General features: G+C 36.9%; 1 protein-coding gene across 22 annotated transcripts in view; it reads right to left on the reverse strand.

Annotated features, from left to right (window-relative positions):
- The window catches only part of ANKS1B (ankyrin repeat and sterile alpha motif domain containing 1B), a 1250151-nt gene that overhangs the window by 652643 nt on the left and 572958 nt on the right, over positions 1-24550 (reverse strand). For all 22 annotated transcript variants that reach the window (XM_006719514.5, XM_006719507.5, NM_152788.4 and 19 more), the window contains one exon: positions 12203-12383. In XM_006719514.5, coding sequence (XP_006719577.1) covers positions 12203-12383 — 181 coding nt within the window. The remainder of the gene's footprint in view (positions 1-12202; positions 12384-24550) is intronic.

Here is a 24550-nt window from a genome sequence, read left to right on the forward strand (position 1 = left end):
AACATGGTGAAAGCCCATCTTTACTAAAATACAAAAAATTAGCCAAGTGTGGTGGTGCGTGCCTGTAGTCCCAGCTACTCGGGAGGCTGAGGCAGGGTTGTTGCTTGAACCCCGGAGGCGGAGATTGCGGCCACTCCGGCCTGGGCGACAGAGTGAGACTCTGTCTCAAAAAAAAAAGAAGAAGAAGAAGAAGAAGCCCAAGGGAGCTCCTTTGCCCTGTCCACTGTGTGAGAACACAGAGAAAATGCTCCGTCTATGAACCAGAAAGTGGGCTCTCACCAGAACCAAATCTGCTGGTGCCTCGGTGTGGCCTCCCCAGCTTCTGGAACTCAGGAAAGTTAATTTCTGTGGTTTGTAAGTTACCCAGTTTACGGTATTTTGTTATAACAGCCCGAATGAACTAAAAGAGTTGTCTTTAGCCACAGTTCATGTAAGAATTGTAATTTACCAAGTAGATTAGATGCCAAGGCATTCCAAGATGATGAAAAAGTACTTAAAACAAGGAGCCATGAACTCTAAGAACAACATACTTAGAAGTCCATGATATATTTGGATAGAGGTGAACAGGAAGTTATATCCAAATTATCAAGGACTGTGTTGAGCATGCTAAGACATTTGGATATTCTTATATAAAAGTTATTAAGCAGGGACAAAGCATAAGATGTTCTTAAACAGCGGAATGGCATGATCAGATATCCTTTTTAAAAAAATAAAAATAAAAAAAGAACTCTGTTAGCTTTAAGAGACTGTCAAGTCCTGGAGGTGGGAAGCCTAAATGAGAGACATCAATAGTTTATTTAGGTCTGGATGATCCCTAATATAGTCTCCCACCCTCTGTCTTATGTCTTAAGATTTCATTATCAGAGCTTTAGCTTTATAATTTAGTACCTATTAAAGTAAAAATTGGTATTTTGGGAATGATAGGATAGAAAATTGCATAAGTGGTTAAGTTGAGCTTGGGGATGTGGGGCAAAGGTGACAGTTTTAAAATCCTTCCCTCTTTATTGTGTAATCTCAAAAAGATCAAGGGACTGGTATTGATGGGAGAGGCACCTTGAGGCCAGAGCAGATGGAGAGAGGGACAGACACTCTCTTTCCAAAATCAGAGGAGCATGGGATATGTTTGTTTTCTGCCTCTCCATAATATGGCACAACGAACTTAGTGGCTTACAAGAGCATGCATTTATTATCTCACAGTTTACAAGAGTCAGGAGTCTGGGTGGCTTAACTGGGCCCTCTGCTCAGGGTCTCATTTAGATATTGGCCAGGGCTCCAGCTCTCATCTGAGGGCCAGGGTCCTTTTCTAAGCTCACAGACTGTTGGCCCAATTTGCTTCCTTGCAGCTGCAGAGCTCATGTGGTTTATTCTCCAAAGCTAGCAACAAAGAGAGAGAAATTCAGCTGCATCAAGTTGCTAACTTCTATGCCCGAAATTTAAGGAATCAGCTTATTATCAGTTCATCTCTCTTTTGATTAACTTAAAACCAGTGATTGGAGACCTTAATTACATCTGCACAATCCATTCACCTTTGCCCTAAAACATCTGGGAGTTATATCCTATCACCTTTGCCATTGGCTAGTAGCAAGTTATGGGCCTCACACACACTCAAAAGAAGGACCTCACACAAAGGCCTGGAGACAGGGAGCAGGATCACAGCCTTCTTAGAATCCTGCCAATGACAGATTTGAAGAGTTGAGGTCACTAGAGTCTAGGAGAGGCAAGGAACAATCAGTCTATCCAGTAGGTAGAAGTAACTGGGGAGAATGTCTGGAACAAGTTCTGTTACAGGCTGGCTCACTGTGGCATGACACCTAAAAGTGAAGCCTGCGTTTGAAGGGCCTGGCCCCAGGTAAACACATGAGGCACCCACCCAACATAGACAAGTGCAGAGAGCAAGAGGGGAAGATGTTCTCCCCAAAGAAGACTGTACAGATAGAAGATCTGAATAGAGAAAAAGGACTTGTAGTTTGAAAACTGTTTTCAACTAGGGGGAAGGAGGGGATTTTCTCCATAGCACCAACCTGGGAATACCAAAAGACTCTTTTCCTCCTTTTGTTTTAATTTTTCAATTACCGTAAGCTTTTCTCTCACAGCTTTATTTTTAACTTTAATGATCACACATATATCACACAAATATAACTAATACGCAGGGAGATTTTTCAAGAGATATAAACATCCTGGTTGAGAAAGTCAGGAGAGAAAAACTACTAAGTAAACTAAAAATGACAAGATAATTAGAGAGAAGATATATACAGCAATAAATTTGAATTTCAAAGAAAATTTCAGGTAACAAATCTGTTATATTTTCACGTGCATTAATAGAAGTTAAAGCAAGAGAAAATTGAGTTAATAAAAAATTGATTTAAAAAAAAACAGATTTTCAACACAAAATCTCTCTGAAACTACTGCGCCCTTGCCTCTGCTGTAATTTTGGAAGGATTAGCGCTTGTAGGACTCTGGCTGTCCCCAGCAGTGACACACCTTCCCACCCCAGGATACATAAAACTGGGGCACAGAGCAGATGGAATTTTCAGCTCTGCTCATCAGCAGGTTGACCTGCTTGTTCCAAGCAATTTTGTGAATTTAAGACTCTGGTGCCTGGCTGGACTCATAGCACCCGGGTGCTCTGCAATTTGTACAGAATTCTAAAATTTCAGGCTCTGCTTGTTGCCTAGATCTTTAGTAATAACAGCAATAAAAAAGTAATAATACCCACATGTATTAAGCATTTATGAAGCTACATTAATTAAGCATATGTTGTGTTTATGTAGTTTGCAGTTAATGGCACTGGCTTAATGTAATAGGGATAGTATTTTTTAAAGAAGAACTTGATATATTTCCATCTTCAAATTGTGTTTCACTGGAAACTGCTCCTCTTCCAGGGCTGGACAGGGTACCTAATGCCCTCACGGAAGAAAAGGTGGGTTAGCAAGTCAATAGACTTAAAAATCAGAGTCCTGCTTTAGACCAATCAGAATGACGTATGAAGATCTATTGTATAGACAAATGAGAAGCCCATCCCAGAAGAGAAAGGACATACCAGCTTCTGGAGAATTTCAAAACGGAAAAGGCTGAATGAGATGGGGAGGATAGGGAAATAGTTCTACATTTGTGTCTGGAACTTTCCTTTCTGGGCACTGGCCTCGAGAGAATGTAGCATAATAAATAGGTATTGGGCAAACATAAGAAAAGAGAGCTCTGGGTTCCCAATCCCATCTAGATTCTGGGCAGGGCCACATCCCATTAAACTTGATAGTTCCCTGTGGTAAGGACTAGCAAGATTTTGGGGATAAATCTTTCTGAGTCCCACTGATATTCCTAAATTACGAATGAGACCCAGAGGTACCTGGAGCCTCCAGAAGGGGGCCTCAGCAGGCAGCTGGTCTGAAAGCCAACTGGACTGCCCTGGGGCCAGCTTGGCAAGGGGAGAGGTGACCGCTGCAGAGGCTAGGAAAGACAGATGGCCGACCTGGCAGAGACTCAGAGGGACCACTTTGCCAGTGCGAGGCGAGCTGAGGTGACCAGCCAGAAAGAGCTCCAGGCTCTGGCCAGAATGGTCTTGACCTAAATATGCCACCTGCAGGCCACAGGTATACTGGAAGGGATGCCCACTCCCTATTATCCCTTTTCCTGTGTGTCTCTCCGGCCCCATGTACCAGCCATTCATTCGTTAGGAGTTTGAACAAAAAGCTAATTCAAACTTTCTCCATCCTCCTCAAATATCTCATCTTTGCCCTCTTTTGTTACTCTCCAAAGACAGCCTTGCTCTTGGTTCACAGAGAAAATAAGAGCCACCGGACAGTAAAATGCAAATCAGATCATCTCTCTTCGTTTAAAACACCTATCAATGACTTCTCATTGCTCTTAGGATAAATACCAAAATCCTGAAGGTAGCTACAAGGGTTTGATTGGGCTTTTACTCGCTTTGCAGCTTCAACTGCTGTCATTTCTCTCCTTTCTCTCTGACCTGCAGTTTCATGTTAATTTCTACCACAGGGATTTTTTTAAATATGCTATTCCTTCTTTAAAGAATAATCTTCCTTCCCCACCTTGGCCTACTTAATTCTTCTTTGTCTTTCAGAGCCCCACTCATTGTTGGCATGAGATCAGTCACCCCCTTGAGATACTCTCACAGCACTTTCTCATGGCACACCCTGAGTAAACATATTTATTTAATATTGCTTAGGTAAGCCAATAGTATTATATCAACTAATTTCATTTGGAGTAGCAAGTCCCATGCACTAGCTAACTAACATCACCCCATTATCTAACTATATATTTTCATAATTTTAAGTGCTGAAAAGCAATCAACTTTTCTTCATCAAGCATCTCGTAACCTGTACCTTGCCTTCTACCTGATGTGCAATTTGTCACAAAGGCACTGGGTGAAAGTCATCATGTGACACCACAGGAAAACAGGAAAAAGTACAGGAGACACATTTCATGATTTATCAAGAAGTGACAAGAATATAATTTACCATTACATCTATATGCAGCATTTGATATAAAAATACTTGCCTCTAGGGTACCTAAAATCCTGGTCTATTGAAAGTACTGAACTTACCAACCAATAACTCAGCTAATATATTTAATGTATATATTTTTAGGAAAACAGGTCCCAAAGATGTAATCTCGCATCATCCTCTCTAACCCTTTACTTTCTCCATATCAGCTTGCCCCGAATCTTAGCTTGGAGTTGAGAGGTCATCTCAGCAGCCTGTTCCTGGCCTTCCTGTCGGCTGGAGGCCAAAGCCTCCCTCAGCTGCCTGTGTCCAGTGGCTGCTGTAATAATGATGTCTCAGCTTCAGGAGGTCTATTTCCAGGCCATGTGAGCTAATTAAAACACAGGCCTTCATTTGCCTTTCTGGCAATCCCTGATCAGTGTGAGAGGCCTATGCCACCCTCTCCATTCTAATTTTAGTTCTCCTCTAGTGTTTTCTCTCCTTTGCAGAAAAGCGTCCTATGCTGCTAAGCACTTACAGGCTTTTGTTTTTGTTATTTCTCCCACTTGGAAAGAAGCACTTTTCCACTTTACTCCTTTTGGGTTTTCTCCTCCCATCAGTTTTCTCCTGCAGGAGGTGATGGTTTGAAACTACTAGCAAAACTGAAGATAATTAGTTACCCAAGGTAGTTGACTTGCTTAGCAGGTGCCCTTGAGAAAGTGCTAATGCACAAAATTCTTCATGTGGAAACAACTTTTTGGACACAGCTTTCTATAAAGATAGAGAACACCTGTTATCACTGGCGATGCTCAGCTTCTTTTCCCCCAGCAATTCACAACACAACTATCCAGAGTTCAGAACTCATAAATTCACTCACAATAGGCTGAGATGCTATTTTTCGGTCTTTTAAAACGGATACTCTTTACTTCTGATAAGCATAAAATTATCACATGGCTTCCTCCCACCCTACCCTCCCTCACTGAAAAAAAATCATTATCTCAACTATCTACTCTACATATCTACTTGAATATCCAACAGATTTTCAAATTAAAATGTTCAAAACTGAGATTTCCCCATCTCCACTAATATCAGCTCCATCTTTCCAAAGGTCAAAACACCAAATATCTTTGAATTACAACTTTGGTCCCTTTTATTTTCTTATATCCTACCTCCAATTCATCCAAATATATATGTAGATAGATTGATAGATCAATCGATAGACAGATGATAGATAGATAGATAGATAGATAGATAGATAGACAGATAGATCTACCTTTAACATAGATCCAGAATTCTACCACTCCTCACCACCTCTATTTAAAAAAAACTGTTACCCGAGGAAAGAAGAACACACTGGCAACCATTAAGGGGACCCAAGAGATTGAAATATCTTAGCAGATGGGTTCTCAGGTCATTCAAAGGTTTCACATGAGAATGAGACACATAGTGGCCATGTGCAGAGAGAGCCCCTTAGGGAAGTGGCCTTGAATGAAACACCTCTCTTAGGGAGACTTTGGCAGCCAGGGAATGACATGAGGAGCCTTGGCACCTCAAGGAAGAGTGGGACAAAGTATAGAAGAAGTGAACTCAGATAAAGGTGATCTATATTACAATGTGTTAAACAAATGGAAAGATTAAATATTATGAACGCAGTGAATGTTATGTCTTTAGAAGTATCAAACATTTCTTCCAGGAAATTGTTGTACTGATTTAATTGCAGTATTTAAGAATATGTTGATGGAGGAGAGGCTAACTCAGCTGCTCAGTCCCATGGTCTTAAGACAATTGCTGATAATTATAATCATTCCTAGTTCCTTGTGCATCCCATTCTTTGAATCCAACAATTATTCCAACCCTCTTCTTTAATACCTTGACTCCAGCAATACTTTGACCCCACTGGAATCTCCAGTCCTAAGATCTTATTGATTTTTCAGTGTTAATTATCTCCTTGTTCTCTTTCACTTCCCTCTTCATCTTGAAGTCTATGGTTAAATATTACACTCCCTTGCATTTATATTTCCTTGCTCTTCAATCACTTCAATATACCAATTTAGCAAAACCACAACCTATGTAAAATTCAACTCTCCAAATACTCTGCACCTGCATCCTCCAGCTGACATAGGCTGGAGAAAAACACAGAACCACATTGGATAGTCTAATTCTAAATGCATGAACACAGACTTTAAATAGGCCTTTAATGCTGCCAGGTGATCACATCATATACCTCCTTTGTCCACTCACTGTTTCTTCTAAACAACTATTTCACACTGTTCTCTCTTTCCTCAAACTCTACATTTCCTTCTCTGTCTTTGGTTTCAATTGAAGCTGCTGCTCTCTACTTTGTAGAAAAACTGAAAACTATCAGAACAGATCTTCCCCAGATTCCCACCACATGGATCTCCTGCCAGTATTTGCACCCACAACCAAAACATCTGTTCATGCTCCTGTCCAAAACCAGTCTCTCCACTTGGTTAATAATAGAATTCATCATCCCCTCTTTCTCCTCCATCGTAACTTAAAAATTCCCCTGTGAAGAAATTCCTTCAAGGGTAGTCTATCATTACTCTAAGTCCTCTCCTCCCTTTCTCCCTTAAAACCACCACATGAGGCTCTATCATTTCCAACCAAATTGCTCTTGTCAAGGTCAGCAGTGACCCCCCCACCCCCAATATTGTTAAATCCATGAACCTATTCTAACTTAGTCCTCATCCTACTTAACTTATCAGCTATATTTGACAGAGTTGATCCCTCTTTCCTTCTTAATAACTTTCTTCACCTGACTTCAGAACAAGACACTCACCAAAAGATTTCCTTCTATCTCACAGGTTGCTCCTTATCAGCTTCCCTTGCTGGTGCTGCCTTTCATTCCATCCTTCCTCAAGCTCAGTTATTGGTCTTCTTCCTCTACACACGCTGCATATCATCTGTATAATGACGACGTTCACATCTATACCTGCAGACTGGACCTTCTGCTGCCTACTTGACACATCTATTCAGATATTCAGTAGGCATCTCAAAATTAACTCCTGGTATTTCTCACTGTTTACCAAACCTTCTCTTCCCCAAATCTCTTGTGTGTCAAACGATAGGAAATTCATTCTTACAGTTGTTAAGGAGAAAGGTCTTGGAGTCATCCTTAATTCTTCTCATTTTCTCATATACCATGTCCACTCCACCATGAAATTCCATTGGATCTGCCTTAAAAATATGTCCAACATCTCTCCATTTCTCTCTAACTCTGCTGATTCACCTGTGATCTTAGCTGCTTTCCCTCTCTTACTGCAATGCTACAATTGCCTTCTAACTGGCTTTCCTGCATCCACCCTTGTTCCCTCTCCCCATCCATGATCGACATTATAGCCAGATTAATCCTCATAAAATAGAAGTTAGATCATGTGACTTTTCTTCTGAAAGAACTGAATAGGCTCTAAGAAAAATCACTCTGGGTTAAAGCCAAAGTCCTGAAATGGCTTATTAGGGCCTTACATAATCTATCCCTCACCCTCTCTTCTTACCTACAAATATTCTACATTTCAAGGAAGAGCATCCACCTTTCACTCATCAGCTTAAGCTAGAAACTTTAGAGCCCTCCTTGAAATATTTCCCCTCATCTTTGCACATCCAATTACCATGACCTGTTAATTACTCTTTCCTTGTATCTCTTAAACCAATTTACATTTTCCCTTTGCTATGAAACTATTTCTCCCCTTCTCCAATGTCATTTCATCTCAAATCTACTACATATTAATACTAGAGTGAACTTTCTAGTTAAATGTGAACCTATTTATATCATTCCCCAGACTGTATAACACCAAAGCTTTTTAATTCTAACAACCTTTTTTGATGATTCACAAGTTGAAGCTTTAATCACAATTCAAGCTACTTTTTAAATGGCCCTCTGTTATAATAAATTCATTGGTTCACTTAAAAGTGTTTTGCAGCATACGATTTATTTTTGAAGATGTATTAGTCTTTGTTCTGTTAAATGCCATTTTGGTCAAGATTAATTTTTTGTGTATGCAATCATTTATAAAATGAAATGTAGATTAATCAGTAAATTTAAATTATACTTCTAAGTCAAGAAAAGGTCAGCTATCTCGGCATAAGCTTGGTCAGCTACCTTGGCATACCTTGTACAGACTTACAACAGGCCCCCCTATCTTAAAGCTACTACAGATTTCAAATAATAGTATTAAAAACAAAAATAATATTAAGCAATAACTGTGATAATATTAAAGAATAATATTAGTTGCCAAGGTTTACAAAATGTATTAACATAAACTCATTTATTACTACAAATACCTAAAGAGTAGATATTATTTCCACTTTCAGAGGAGCAAATTAAATGTCAGAAAAGTTAAAGGTTTTGATGGAAAATATCTAGCAAATCAGTGATGGAACTGACTCTTCAACTCATTCTCTTTATATACCCAGTGGCAATGTCTGTAAAGCATAACAAATTAAATATGTGTAAGCTAATAAAATGCTACTTTTGCAAGTACAAATGCCTTCCTTACAAGTTTTCCTTTTTAATGTAAAGCAAAGCAAATTGTGCTTTCACATTATTACTAAATATCAGTCTATCCTAAAATTGTTTATGTAATGTGGAGGTGATATATTATCTTAGAAAACCACTGTAACATGGTATTGGAAACCATTTCAACTGTTAAAAGGTTAGATTTCAGTTCTGTTTAAAGGTCAGACCTGAAAATATCCTGATGATTACAATTTCTCCACACATTTTGGATGATGCCACTGAACTCCTGGCAGCAGCAAAATGTGTTTGTTCTGATCCTCTGCTTCTGGTGGTCAGTTTCAGAGTGGAGAAAAGGCGCCAGGGCTTTGGGACTAGACCTAAATTTCTATTGCTTTTAATTAAAATAATAAAGGGGAAAAGGTAATATTCCTATCCAACTGAGACAGAAAAATTTGTTGAAAACCGATTCTTACCTGTTGAAAAATATTCAGAAAATCGATCATCCCCAAAACAATGTACTAACTAAAACAAAACCAAGAAAGGCATTCTGAAAGGCAAGTATCAAAGCATCTGTCATTGCCCCATTTTAGGTTTTCAAATCTGGAACTAGTCATTCAAATAAATATTGTTTGAATAATAATTATATGCCCAGAACCCTTCCCAGGTCCACATACCACTATTTTTTGTTTTTACAAATCACATCTCATCTCTCCTGTCCTATAAAACTGCATTTAGTACATAGCAGACAATACATTTTAATGCTCACTGAATGAATGCTAGGATTGATGTAGAATACAAAGAATTATGTTAATATCATTGTTATTGCTACTACTACTAATAGTTACTAACATTTATTGAGCACTAACTATCTGCCAGGCACTGTGTTAGTCACTTTACATGCATCACCACAGTACAGGGTAAGTTAATCTAATTAATTCATTGTTAATCTAATTCTATAGTAAGAAAACTATAGCATAAAGAGATCAAGTCTCATAGCTAGGTAAGAGGCTCAGTTTCACAGTTAGTAATCAAACTTTGGCAGTCTGACCTCAGTGCTTACAATGGGCCAGAGACCAACCTATTGCAGCTTACATTCTAGAAAGACGACAAGAAATAAGTAAAGAAGTAACCAATATAATTTTACATAGGAGATAAGGCTATGGATAAAAGAAAACGGGATGATTTGATAGAAGTGACTAGAGTGATATAGAAAAATGGTTAAAAACATGAACTCTAGTACCAGGTTTGAGTTCATACCAGAACTTTTTCCAGCTTTGTCATTATGGGCTGTTATTTAGTTACTTATGTTCTTTGTGTATTTCCTTATCTACAGATAATACCGAATTTATATAACAGTCATGAGGTTTAAATGAATTGATATACATAAAATGCCTAAAACAGTTCCTGACACATAGTGTCATTTAAGTATTTATTATTATTGTTATTTTTGCATTTTTATTGTTATAATTCTTATCACGTTGAGGACATCTACTTGAGATAGGGTGGTATGGGAAGGCCTCTATGAGGAAATGCATTTGAACCAAAACCTAAATGACACTTAGGCACATGAAAATTTTAAGGCAGAGATTCCAGGCAGAAGGAAACAAAGTGCAAAAGCCCCAGGGCTAGAATGTTCAGCAAAGAAAGCCAGTATGGCCAGGATGAGTTCAGTCAAGTTACAGAGCTAGTCAGGAACCAGGCTAAATTAGGCATCACTGGATATGGTAAGGAGTTGGGTTTTATTCTAAGTGCGATTAGAAGACATGGGAACATTTTAAGCATGGTAATGACATGCTTTGATTTACATTTTATAAATATCACTCCGGCTTCCATGAAAGTTTGGATTATAACTTCCATAGAATGTCAATCTTATCATTCCCATTAGTCATTGTTTTTAAAATCTTAGCTTTATTCCTAGGGAAAAGTAATTCTCTGACTATATTTCCAGAATGTTTGTGTTAGTGCTTTTAAACATAGAGTCCGATTAAAGGACTTAAGTAGGTATATGAACATACATATATACACATACACTCACTGTGAACAAAGATTATATGGAATACTCACATAGACCACACTTCATTATTCTAAATTCAAATCAGAATTTGAATTCACTGAATGAATGCTAGGCTGGGTTTTTGAATCATGTTTCTTGGAAGGAAAGTAATTGTTTACTTACATGAAAGTTGACCATATGAATTAGGTCATTCTTGTTATACCCAACTAAAACAGTTGAGAGGTCAAGGGGAGAAAACATCTAGGGCACATAACACTGTTCCAACAATGTAATTCCCTGTGAGCTTGGCTGCTGAAGCTGCCTGCTGTAACCTGAAACCAGTTTTATCTAATAGCTACTGAAACAACCTGCTGCAACTCTGAGAATCATTTTACCCATAGCCATCACTTACCAATCAAAACTTTCCAGCTCACCAACATATTATTAGTGCCAATGAACTTCCTCAAAGAGCAATATGTAACTTTCCCCTTTTTTGTAAAACCTCTATCCGTCTGTTCTCTGGACATAATGAAGACCATCCAGCCTATGAGTATGCCACAAATGCAATTCTTGATTTCCAAATAAAACATTTAAAATTAAGACTTTTGTCTCTATATTGTATTTGTCTTTAACCCTTATTGTAAATTATATGGCAGGGGAGGATATTCTTTGGGTCCCACTTCTCTTATTTCTAATATGTCCCTTGGCCTTGCCAGGCGTTAGCTCCTTGTCCCCCAAATAAAGAAAGCTTTGCAAATCTGACTGCATGGAACAATGTATGTTTTACTAGTGGGTGGTGTTATTTTTCTTAATCTTACCCTCACACCCAGCATTTTCTCCCCCAACACACTTCCTCTGCAAGTTCACCATGGTTTAAATAGGTTGAAAGCCAGCCTAGGCCACATTGTACAATTCCTTCTTACCAGACATCCTTGATATAAGTTCTCCGGCTTCAAAGCATCTCTTAATAAAGTTGTCTGTTGATTAGTTGATACCGCTGTGTGGTGAGGGGTAAATGGCAGTGGAAGAACATTTCCAGGTCCCTGGTATTTTTACTACTATAATCACATTAAATCATCATCTTTAATATCTAACACCAAAAGGCCATCCATGTATTCAAAAAGAATATTACAGCCACACTGACAAGAATCTTAAAGCCCTACATTGCCACACATGGAGGTGAACTAAAAACACAATGCAATTTGTACGAAGACTCCTCCTAATTCCTCTAACTCATAAATACTTCAGTCTTAAAATAAAAATACAGCTGCATAAAGTGAACTGCTTTACCTGTATGGTTAGTTCCCTCATTCTTGACTTCTGTGGTTCCCACAGAAGAGGTGGGTGGACTAGCAGGAGGACTGGCAGTAAAGCTTGTGCACCCTGTAGATGTGTTGATTTCAAAATATTCTTGGTTGTGATTCATTCGGTGAAAATCCAGAGAAGACACAATGGATGTTCGCTGTTTAGGCTAAAATAAATGAGCATGACGAGAGTATTAATATGATCATGTTCATCTTCAGCCCAATCTCCCCATCAATTTAATCTAAGTGATAATTTTTTTCAGTTAAAAACTATCTGGGTTTTATACTTAAAATATAATTGTGCTTTACAGAGATACATTAATTTCTTGATGAATTAAATAATAAAAAATTATTTAATGAGAAAATATTATGGCATAGTTGATGTGATAGGTTAGGCTTTTCATTTGCTTTCCCCAGAAGATTGTAAAAATATAGTGCACAAAATTTCTCTTGGTAATCAATTTTGAAAGTTGCAATTTTAAGTCACCTTTCATTCAACTAACATTTATTAAGCATCTGGCATTTGCCAGACCCAGAGGATATAGAATCTAATAATAAAAGGGCCTTACAACATAGAAGAATAATTAAGGCAGTTCCATTTTTTTATTCTTTAAATAGTCCAAGGAATTGGTGGCATTAGATATTGTTCCCAAGTACAAGATGCTGGAATTTTATCATCAGAATTAAATAAAGTTATATGGAACATTTTCTAAGATCTAAGAATATGCTTGGTATTTTTAGTGAACTTTGATTTTCTTTTTTAAGAATTTTAATTAATCCCCAAATAGCAAGAAAAGTCAATTTAAACATAAAAGTTAAAATCATGGAGTAATAGCAGATATAATCTATACCCTTTGTCAGTAATGAATTACTCCCCGTAGCAATTTTCTGGGGCTTTTTCCCCATAGTTTTAATTATATTCACTTTCTTTTCTTGCCTAGCAGAGCTTCTAACATTGTCCTTCAGAAAAACTGCAGTTTTTTGGCTCTCAAATGTGTGTGTTTTTCCCAGGATTCAACTCTACCTTTCTTACTTTTTATTTTTTAGTTTATATTACTGAAATACTAAAAATCTCTTATAATAATTATAAGAGATCAAATGTAAACTTTTTATAATAAGGTAAAGTTTATTGTACTTTACTTTCTCCAAAGTACAATTAACTTTTGGTTTACTAATGTTTTTATTACCCTTAAATATGTGTTAATCCCTGTACTCCATAGATTATTTTCCTGCAAAATATTCAAATTGCTGTCTCTTCCAGCTTATCATTTTCTTCCAAGTAGATATCATTTAATCTATAATCTAAAATAGACAATCATATGGAAAATATCTGCACAGTATAGGGTTTTTAAAAAAATATATAAGGTGTGTAAATTATCACAATATGATTTATTCTTTCACCAATATTTCACCAAATATTTTTATGAAAGACATTGAGAGGTATAAATATTGTTATGCAAGAGAGTGCAAGTCATTTATTATTATGACACATCAACTCAGTAATAGAATTCAAATTAGCACCCACAGAGGACTCAGTTGCTTTTGAAATACAAAAGATCAGGGTTTAATGTCAGGCTTGGTTTCTCATGAAATGTCTGTCCTTGGGACTGCTGAATCTCAATTTCACATTCAATGTCCTTTCCACCACATTCTATAATAGCAATTAGAAAGGCATGAGCTATAGCGCTGGCTCCAATGGAGCCCATCATTCTAGGCTTTGTTTTATTGTGTTGTGTTTTTGTTTCACTTTATGTGTAGGCAATGGACCACATTTCTATGTTTCTTCTCATAAATTTTATAAAGGTCAAGCCAAATGATATATATGATTCCCCCATTTCTAATTGTTTCTTAAATACATGTTTCTGAATCCTGACCACCCATGGTTCTAACTGCTTTAAAAACACAATGTTTTATGCAATCATGAAAACAAACAAGCTATTTTGTGCAATATTAATTCATTCTACAAATATTTGCTGAACATACACTAAACTGCAGATATCATGCACGTAAGCACTGTGATAGGAATAAAACAAGACACTGTCCCTGTTTTCTGTATGAATATAAACGAGGTGGGAGGATGGATGGCACATGAGTCTTCGAAAAAGAGACAAGCAATCCAATGATTATGCTTCAGTATCACATAGCAGTAAGGGTGATGAAAAATTAGAAGCATTATACTTAGTCATGCCCTAAGGCAAGGGTCAGCAAACTATGGCCTGTGGCTCAAATCTGGCTTTCTTCCTGTTTCTAAAAATGAAGTTTTATTGGAACAAAACTGCACCCATTGCTCCCTCATTTAGTTATGGTCTATGACTGCCCTCGTACTATAATTGCAGAGTTCAGTAGTCGCAACACAGGTCATATTTTCCACAACACTTGAAATATTTATTATGTCTGGCTTTTTAGAGAAAATATTTGGCCACTCCTGTTCTATGGAATTGTTTCACACCTCAATTTTGTGCTCAATAAAACCGTAACTATAGGTTTCCTTTTATTTCCTAGCCTGACTTGCCTTTGGGTTGGGCAATGTGACTAATTCTCATCAAATACAATATTAGTAGAAGTGACATTTTTCTATCCCTCTCTTACTCTCCTAATGATGTAGTTGAAAGATGAAGGAAAGTCATGAAACTCACTAATTAGTTTTATGAGATGTTAAAGTGAACCTTCCTTTTTTATATTTTTATTTTAAGTTCAGGGGTACATGTGCAGGTTTGTTACATAGGTAAAGGTGTGTCATGGGGGTTTGTTTAACAGATTATTTTATCGCCCAGGTATTAAGCCTAGTACTCATTAGTTATTTTTCCTGATCCTCTCCCTCCTCCCACCCTCCACCATCTGATAGGCCCCAGTGTGTGTTGTTCCCCTCTATGTGTCCATGTGTTCTCATCATTTAGTTCCCAGTGATGAGTGAGAACATGTGGTATTTGATTTTCTGCTCCTGCATTAGTTCACTCAGGATAACAGCCTCCAGCTCCATCCATGTCCCTGCAAAGGACATGATCTCATTCTTTTTTATGGCTGCATAGTATTCCGTGGTGTATATATACCACATTTTCTTTATCCAGTCTATCATTGGTGAGCATTGAGGTTGATTCCATGTCTTTCATATTGTGAATAGTGCTGCAATGAACATACGCATGACGTGTCTTTGTAATAGAATGATTTATGTTCTTTTGGGTATATACGCAGTAATGGGATTACTGGATCGAATGGTATTTCTGACTTTAAGTCTTTGAGGAATCACTGCATTCTCTTCCACAATGGTTGAACTAATGTATACTCCCACCTGTAGTGTATAAGTGTGGCTTTTTCTCCACAACCTTCCCAGCATGTGTTATTTTTTGACTTTTTAATAATAGCCATTCTGAATTGATTTGAAATGGTATCTCATTGTGGTTTTGGTTTGAATTACTCTAATGATCAATGATGTAGCACTTTTTTTCATATAATTGTTAGCTGCATGTATGTCTTCTTTTGAGCAGCAGTGTCTGTTCACTTTTCTTTCTTTTTTTTTTTTTTTTTTTTTTTTTTGAGACGGAGTCTCTATCACCCAGGCTGGAGTGCAGTGGCATGATCCCAGCTCAATGCAACCTCTGCCTCCTGGGTTCAAGTGATTCTTGTGCCTCAGGGCCTCGAGTAGCTGGGATTACAGGCAAGCATTACCATGTCTGGCTAATTTCTGTCTTTTTAGTAGAGACGGGGTTTTGCCGTGTTGGTCAGGCTGGTCTTGAACTCCTGGCCTCAAGTGATCTGCCCACCTCATCCTCCCAAAGTGCTGGGATTACAGGCGTGAACGACCATACCCAGCCCCCAATGCCCACTTTTTAATGGGGGTTGATTTTTTTTTCTTGTAAATGTAAGTTAATTTCTTATAGATGCTGGATATTAGCCTTTGTCAGGTGAATAGTTTGCAAAAATTTTCTCCCCTTCTGTGGGTTGTCTGTTTACTCTGTTGACAGTTTCTTTTGCTGTACAGAGGCTCTTTAGTTTTACTAGATTTCATTTGTCAATTTTTTCTTTTATTCCAACTGAAGGAACACTTATACACTGTTGATGGGAGTTTAAATTAGTTCAACCATGAAGACACTATGGTGATTCATCAAACAGAAATTTTGAGGATATTTCTGTTCCTAAAAACAAAAATATACCATTTGACCCAGCAATCTAATTACTGGGTATATACCCAAAGGAATATAAATCATTCTGTCATAAAGACACATACACACATATGTTCACTGCAGCACTATTCACAACGGCAAAGACATGGAATCAATCTAAATGCCCATCAGTGATAGACTGGATAAAGAAAATGTGGGATATAATATATAGCATGGAATACTATGCAGCCATAAAAAAGAATTAGATCATGTCCTTTTCAGGAACATGGTTGGAGACCGAGGCTATTATCCTTAGCAAACTAACACAAGAACAGAAAACCAAATATTGCATGTTCTCACTTATATGTGGGAGCTAAATTATAACTAATGGACACATAGAGAAGAACAACACATACTGGGCCTATTGGAGAGTGGAGGGTAGGAGGAAGGAGAGCATCAGGAAAAATAACTAATGGGTACTAGGCTTAATGCCTGGGTGACAAAATAATCTGTACAACAAACCCCATGATACTATTTTACCTATGTAACCTGCACATGTACTCCTGAACTCAAAATAGAAGTTACATAAAAAATTTAAAAAAAGAAATGAGAACAAAGAAGCTGCTTTGAGGAAACTCAACAAAATTCAAGATAACGCAGATGAGGTATTCAGAATCCTATCAGATAAATTTAACAAAGAGATTGAAATTATTGAAAAGAATCAAGCAGAAATTCTGGAGCTGAAAAATGCAACTGGTATACTGAAGAATGCATTAGAATCTGTTAAAAGCAGAATTGATCAGGCAGAAGAAAGAATTAGTGAGCTTCAAAACAGGCTATTTGTAAATATATAGTCAGAGAAGACAAAAGAAAAAAGAATAAAAAAGAATGAATCATGGCTTCAAGATCTAGAAAATAGCTTCCAAAGGGCAAATCTAACAGTTATTGGCCTTATAGAGGAGGGAGAGAGGTGGGTGGAATAAAAAGTTTACTCAAAGTGAGAACAGAGAACTTCCTAGACCTAAAGAAAGATCTCAATATTCAAGTATAAGAAGGCCATAGAATACCAAGGAGATTTAATCCAAACAAGACTACCTCAAGCTATTTAATAACTTAACTCTCAAAATTCAAGGATAAACAAAGGATTATAAATGCAGCAAGAGAAAAGAAGCAAATAACGTACAATGAAGCTCCAATATGCTTGGCAGCAGATTTCTCAGTAGAAACTTTACATGCCAGGAAAGAGTGGCATGACATATTTAAAGTGCTGGAGGAAAAAATGTTTATCCTAGAATAGTATATCCAGTGAAAATATCCTTCAAACATGAAGGAGAAATAAAGACTTTCCCAGACAAACAAAAGTTGAGAAATTTCTTCAACATTAGATCTTTCCTACAATAAATGCTAAAGGGAGTTCTTCAGTGTGAAAGAAAATGACGTTAATGAGCAACAAGAAATCATCTGAAGGTACATAACTCATGAGTAAAAAAAACACAGAATAGTATAACACTGTAATTGGGATGTGTGAACTCATATTTTGAGGTGACAAATGAAAAAATAGACTGATAATAACAAGTATGAAAACTTTTCAAGACATAGACAGTACAATAAGACATAAATAGAAACAACAAAAGTTAAAAAGTAGGGGGACAAAGTTAATGGCTACAATATTTATTAGTTTTTCCTTTGCTTGTTTGTTTATGTAATCAGTGTTAAGTTGCCATCAGTTTAAAATAATGGATTATAAAAAATTATTTGCAAGCCTTAAGGTAAATTCAAATTAAAAATCCTACAATAGATACATAAGAAATAAAACAAGAAATTAAAACATACCAGCAGAGAAAATCTTCACTAAAAGGAAGAGAGGGAGGAAGGAGAGAAGGAGGAGATCACACAAAAAACTAGAAAACAAATAACACAATGGCAGGATAAGTGCTTATCATTAATATCAATAATATTGAATAATTAGACTAGAATCTCCAGTCAAAAGACAGAGAGTAGCTGAATGGGTTAAAAAAAAAAGACCCAACAATCTATTGCCTGCAAGAAATACACTTCACCTATAAAGATACACATAGACTGAAAATAAGGGGATGGACAAAGATATTCCATGCAAATAAAAATCAAAAAAGAGCAGTCGTAGCTATACTGATATGACAAAATAGATTTCAAGAAAAAACTATAAAAACAGACAAAAAATCATTACATAATGATAAAGGGTGAAAATCAAGAAGATGATATCATAATTTCAAATATATACGCACCCAGATATATAAAGCAAATATTATTAAGGGTAAAGAGAGACATAAACCCCAATACAATAGTAGCTGAAGACTTCAACAACCCACTTTCATCATTGGACAGATCATTCAGACAGAAAATCAACAAAGAAATGTCAGACTTAATCTGTACTATAGGTCAAATGGGCTTAATAGGTATCTACAGAACATTTCAATGAACAGTTACAGAATATACATTCTTCTCCTTAGTACATGAATAATTCTCAAAGATAGACCATTTGTTAGGTCACGAAACAAGTCTTAAAAAAACTAAAAAATAAATTGAAATTATATCAAGTATCTTCTTTATCCACTATAAAATAAAACTAGGAATCAATAACAAGAGGAATTTTGGAAACTATACAAACACGTGAAAATTAAACAATATGCTACTGAATGACCAAATGGGTCAATGAAGAAATTAAGAGGGGAATTTAAAAATGTCTTGAAGCAAATGGTAATGAAAAGACAACATAGCAAAACCTATGGGCTACAGCAAAAGCAGAACTAACAGGAAAATTTATAGCTATAAGCACCTACATCAAAAAAGTAGAAAAACTTCAAATAACCTAACAATGCATCCTAAGAACAAGAAAGGCAAGAGAAAACCATACCCAAAGTTAGAAGAAAAGAAATAATAAAGATCAGAGCAGAAATAGATAAAATTGAAACAAAGAAAATACCATAAATGCTAAATAAAATAAAAAGTTGGTTTTTTGAAAAGATAAAATTGACAAACCTTTAGCCAGATTAAGAAAAGAGAGATAAGCCTCAAGTAAATAAAATGAGAGAAGAAAAAGACAACGTTACAACTGATGCCACAGAAATTCAAAGGATCATTAGAGGCTCCTAGGAGCAAGCAGTAGTCTCCCAGCAAAGAAAAGCCCAGGATCTGATGGCTTCACTGCTGAATTCTACCAAACATTTAAAGAATAACTAATACATGCCTTACTCAAACTATGCCAAGAAATGGAGGAGGAGGAAATACTTCTGAACTCATTCTACAAGGCTGGTATTACCCTGATACCAAAACCGGACAAAGACACATCAAAAACAGAAAACTACGGGCCAATATTCCTGATGCATGTTGATGCAAAAATTCTCAACAAAATACTAGCAAACCAAATTCAACACCACATTAAAAAGGCCATTCATTATGATGAAGGGGAATTTATCCCAGGGATGCAAGGATGGTTCAACTTATGTAAATCAATCAGATAATACAACATACCAGCAAAATTAAGGACAAAAAACTACATAACTGATTTAATTGATGCTGAAAAAGAATTTGATAAAATTCAACATCCCTTCATGATAAAAACCCACTGGGTATAGAAGAAACAGACCTCGAATAGTAAAAGCCATGTACAACAGACCCACAGTATCATACAAAATGGGAGAAAACTGAAAGCCTTTCCTCTAAGACCTGGAACTTGACAAGGACGCCCACTTTCAGCACTCTTATTCACCGTCATACTGGAAGTCCTGGCTAGTAATCAGACAAGAGAAAGAAATAAAGGGCATCCAAGTTGAAAAGGAAGAATTTGAATTAGCCTTTCAAAATCTTACATATTTTGAAAAACCTAAAGATTCTACCAAAAAACTATTAGAACTGATAAATTCAGTAAAGTTGCAGAATACAAAATCAACATACAAAAACCAGTAGCATTTCTATATGCCAACAGTGAATAATCAGAAAAAATAGAACAAAGAAGTCTCATTTACAATAGCTACAAATAAAATAAAATATCTAGGAATAAACTTAACCAAAGAAGTAAAAGAGCTCTACAGTGAAAACTATAAACACGGATGAAAGACATTGAAAATCATATAAGAAAATGAAAAGATATTCCACTTTCTGGATTGGTAGAATAAACACTGTTAAAATATCCATACTACCTAAAGCAATCTACAGATTCAATGCAATCATTAACAAAATACTAATGATATTCTTCACAGAAATGGAAAAAACAATCCTAAAATGTATATGGAACCAAAAAAGACCCAGAAGAGAATAAGCCATCATGAGCAAAAAGAATAAAACTGGAGGAATCACATTGCCTGACTTCAAGTTATACTACCAAGCTATAGTAACCAAAACAGCATGGTTCTGGCATAGAAGCAGACAAATAGACCAATGGAACAGAATGGACAACCCAGGAACAAATCTATACACTGACAGTGAATTCATTTTTGACAAAGGTGTCAAGAACATACACAAGGTTACATAAGGGAAAAGACAGGGTGGTGGTGGAAAAACAGGATATCCATAAGCAGAAGAACGAAAGTAGACCCCTATCTCTTGCCTTATACAAAAATCAAATCAAAATGGATTAAATAATTAAATCTAAGACCTCAAACTACAAAACTACTAAAAGAAAGCATCAGGGAAGCTCTCCAGGACATTGGACTAGGCAAAAATTTCTTAAGGAACACTTCACAAGCATAGGCAACCAAAGCAAAAGCGGACAAGTGAGATTATATCAAGCTAAAAACTTCTGCACAGCAAAGGAAACAACCAATAAAGTGAAGAGACCACCTAAAGAATGGGAGAAAATATTTACAAGCTATCCATCTGACAAGAGATTAATAGCCAGAATATGTAAGGAGATCAAAAAACTGAAAAGGAAAAAAAATCTAAGAATCTGATTTAAAATGGGCAAAAGATCAGAATAGACATTTCTCAAAAGAAGACATACAAATGGCGAACCGATATGAGAAAAGGTGTTCAATATTACTGATCATATGAGAAATGCAAATTACAACTACAAGGAAATATCACCTCACCCCAGTTAAAATGGCTTTTATCCAAAAGACAGGCAACGACAAATGCTGGCAAGGATGTAGAGAAAATGAAACCCTTGTAAACTGCTGGTGGGAATGTAAATTACTACAACCAATGTAGAGAAAAATGGAGATTTTGGAGGTTCCTTAAATAACTAGAAATAGAACTACCATATGATCCTGCAGTCACACTGCTAGGTATATTCCCAAAAGTATATCGAAAACATAGCTCATTCTCTCTCATGTTTATTGCAGGACTATTCACAATAGCCAAGATTTAGAAGCCACCTAAGTGTCTATCAACATATGAATGGATAAAGAAAATGTGGTACATAAACACAATGGCATACTATTCGGCTATAAAAAAGAATGAGATCCTGTCATTTGCAACAACATGGATGGAACTGGAAGTCATTACGTTAAGTGAAATAAGCCAGGCACAGAAAGACAAACATTGCATGTTCTCATTTATTTGTAGGAACTAGAAAAATTAAAACAATTGAACTCACAGTGGTAGAGAGTGGAGTGATGGTTACCAGATGCTAAAAATGGTAATTTGGGTGGTGGGGGGAGTGGGAATAGTTAATGGGCTCAAAAATGTGGTTGGAATGAATAAGATCTAGTATTTGATAGCACAATATTATGACTAGAGTCAGCAATAATTTATTGTACCTTTTAAAATAACTAAAACCGTATAACTGAATTATGGGTAATACAAAGAAAGGAAAAATGCTTGAGTTGATGAACACCCCATTTACCCCAAAATGATTATTACACTGCATGCCTGTGTCAAAATATCTCATATACTCTACAAATATATATACCTACTATGTACCCCAAAAAACTAAAAATTAAAATAAAAAAGAGATATCTATGTGGAGAAATGGAATAACAGCAATGGGAGAAAAGAATAAAGAGATGGTCATAATATTAAAATGGAGATAAAAAAGAATAGGTCTAGAATATTCATTTAAACATGTTTGATTTAATATAATTTTTACTACTCAAATAGAATTGCACTCAGCCATTCAGTATAAAAAAGAAAAAGTGTTTTCACAAATTCACTGAAATTACATATTGAATTTGCCAAGCTTTGATATGTAGAATGAATTGCACTTGTGTTCGTTGTGGCTTCTCCACTTTAAAACATATCCCTCCACTGTGGTCCAGTCCTCATATCACCCTACTTTCCAGAGGACTTGCTTCTATACATATTTACTTAGCAGGAGTCAGCAAACTACATCTTATGTGCCAAAGCCAGGCTTCTGAATATTTTTGTTCAGCCTGAAAGCTAAGAATGGTTTTCACATTTTTTATCGTTTTTTAGAAAAGGAAAAATAATATTAGTAACACATGAAAATTGTATGAAACTCAAACTTCACTGTTTGAAAACAAAGTTTTATGGAGACATAGCCATGTCCATTCATTGATGTATTGTCTATGGCTGTTTTCCTGCTACAGTAGCAGAGTGTAGTAGTTGTAACGTAGACCTTATGAACGAAGACTTAACTATTTTACTCTCTGATCTTTTATAAAAAAAAAAAATTGTGACCCTTTCTATAAAGTGAATAGGAAATTTCAGCTGGGCACAGTGGTTCACGCCTGTAATCCCAGCACTTTGGGAGGCCGAGGTGGGCGGATCACGAGGTCAGGAGATCGAGACCATCCCGGCTAACACGGTGAAACCCCGTCTCTACTAAAAATACAAAAAATTAGCCGGGTGTGGTTGCAGGCTCCTGTAGTCCCAGCTACTCGGGAGGCTGAGGCAGGAGAATGGCGTGAACCTGGGAGGGGGAGCTTGCAGGGAGCCGAGATCGGGCCACTGCACTCCAGCCTGGGCAACAGGGCAAGACTCCATCTCAAACAAACAAACAAACCAACAAACAAAAGTTAACAGGAAATTTCTCTGAGGAGGTAAAGTTGAACAGACACAGGAACGACTGTGATTGAATCAGGGAACCAGTGCAACATAAAAAGGTAGGACCCCTTGTTTCAAGAGCAGGTACAAAAACTTTTTTCTTTTTCCCATGTTCTCTCTCTAGATCTGTTATGGTGTTCTTTTATTTGCTACTTAACGTATTGCTCCCTTGGTCATGGAAACACTCACAGGGTGAGGGCAGATTCTTACAGGAATGCAGTGGCTCTGCCCTGCAACTCAGTAAGTGCATCTGACCTTGACCCTTCCCCACACTCATGGTCTCACTACTGCATCAGCAGTTTCTGGGCAGGCCAGGGGCACCTGGGTTGGAGGAGCAGGTGGAAAAGAATTTTACTCAGTAAAGAAAGTAGAAATAGGGTGGAAAGTGGGAAAACAGTTAAGTCAAGATTCCAAGCCCCAACACATGTTCAATTTTCCCATAAACCGCCTTACAAAACCCTGGGCCAGGAGCACCAGGGTTGGGGGAGCTGCTAGAGTCCCCAGTGTCTACTGTTCCCATCTTTATGTCTGTGTGTACCCAATGTTTAGGTCCCACTTATTAGTAAGAATGTGTGGTATTTGGTTTTCTGTTTCTGTGTTAATTCACTCAGGATAACGGTCTCTAGCTACATTCATGCTGCTGCCAAGGACATGATTTCATTCTTCTTTATGGCTGCATAGTATTCCACAGTGTATATGTACCACATTTTCTTTATCCAATCCACTACTGATGGGCACTTAGGCTGATTCCATGTCTTCTCTATAGTGAATAGCACCGCAATAAACATATGAGTGCAGGTGTTTTTTGGTAGAAATATTTATTTTCCTTTGGGTCTATATCAACCTGGGATATTTTGTGTGATACATATGACGAAAATATTTAATTCTAAATATTTTTTTCTCAAAATGATAGCCTACTGTCCCAATACCATTATTTATCCACTGATTTGAAATGTCACCTTTATCATATACTAAATTTCCAAATAGAGATTGGGCTTGCATTTTTGGACTCGACTATATTCCCATTGATCTATTTGTCTATTCCTGTACTAACATCACACTCTCTTACTTACTGTATGGCTTCTATTTCTAGAGCTCCTAGTGCGTGGATATTGGATCTCTTTGACCCTTCCTGTTTTATATACTGGGAGTATTCTACAGTTCATTGTCCTAAAGAACCTTCATTAATTTGCTAGGAAATACTTATTGACCATTATCAGCTGTGTGGTCAGGCGCTGTTGTAGCCTCTGGGG

The sequence above is a fragment of the Homo sapiens genome, chromosome 12 (assembly GCF_000001405.40).
Source record: "Homo sapiens chromosome 12, GRCh38.p14 Primary Assembly".
Classification (NCBI taxonomy): domain Eukaryota; kingdom Metazoa; phylum Chordata; class Mammalia; order Primates; family Hominidae; genus Homo; species Homo sapiens.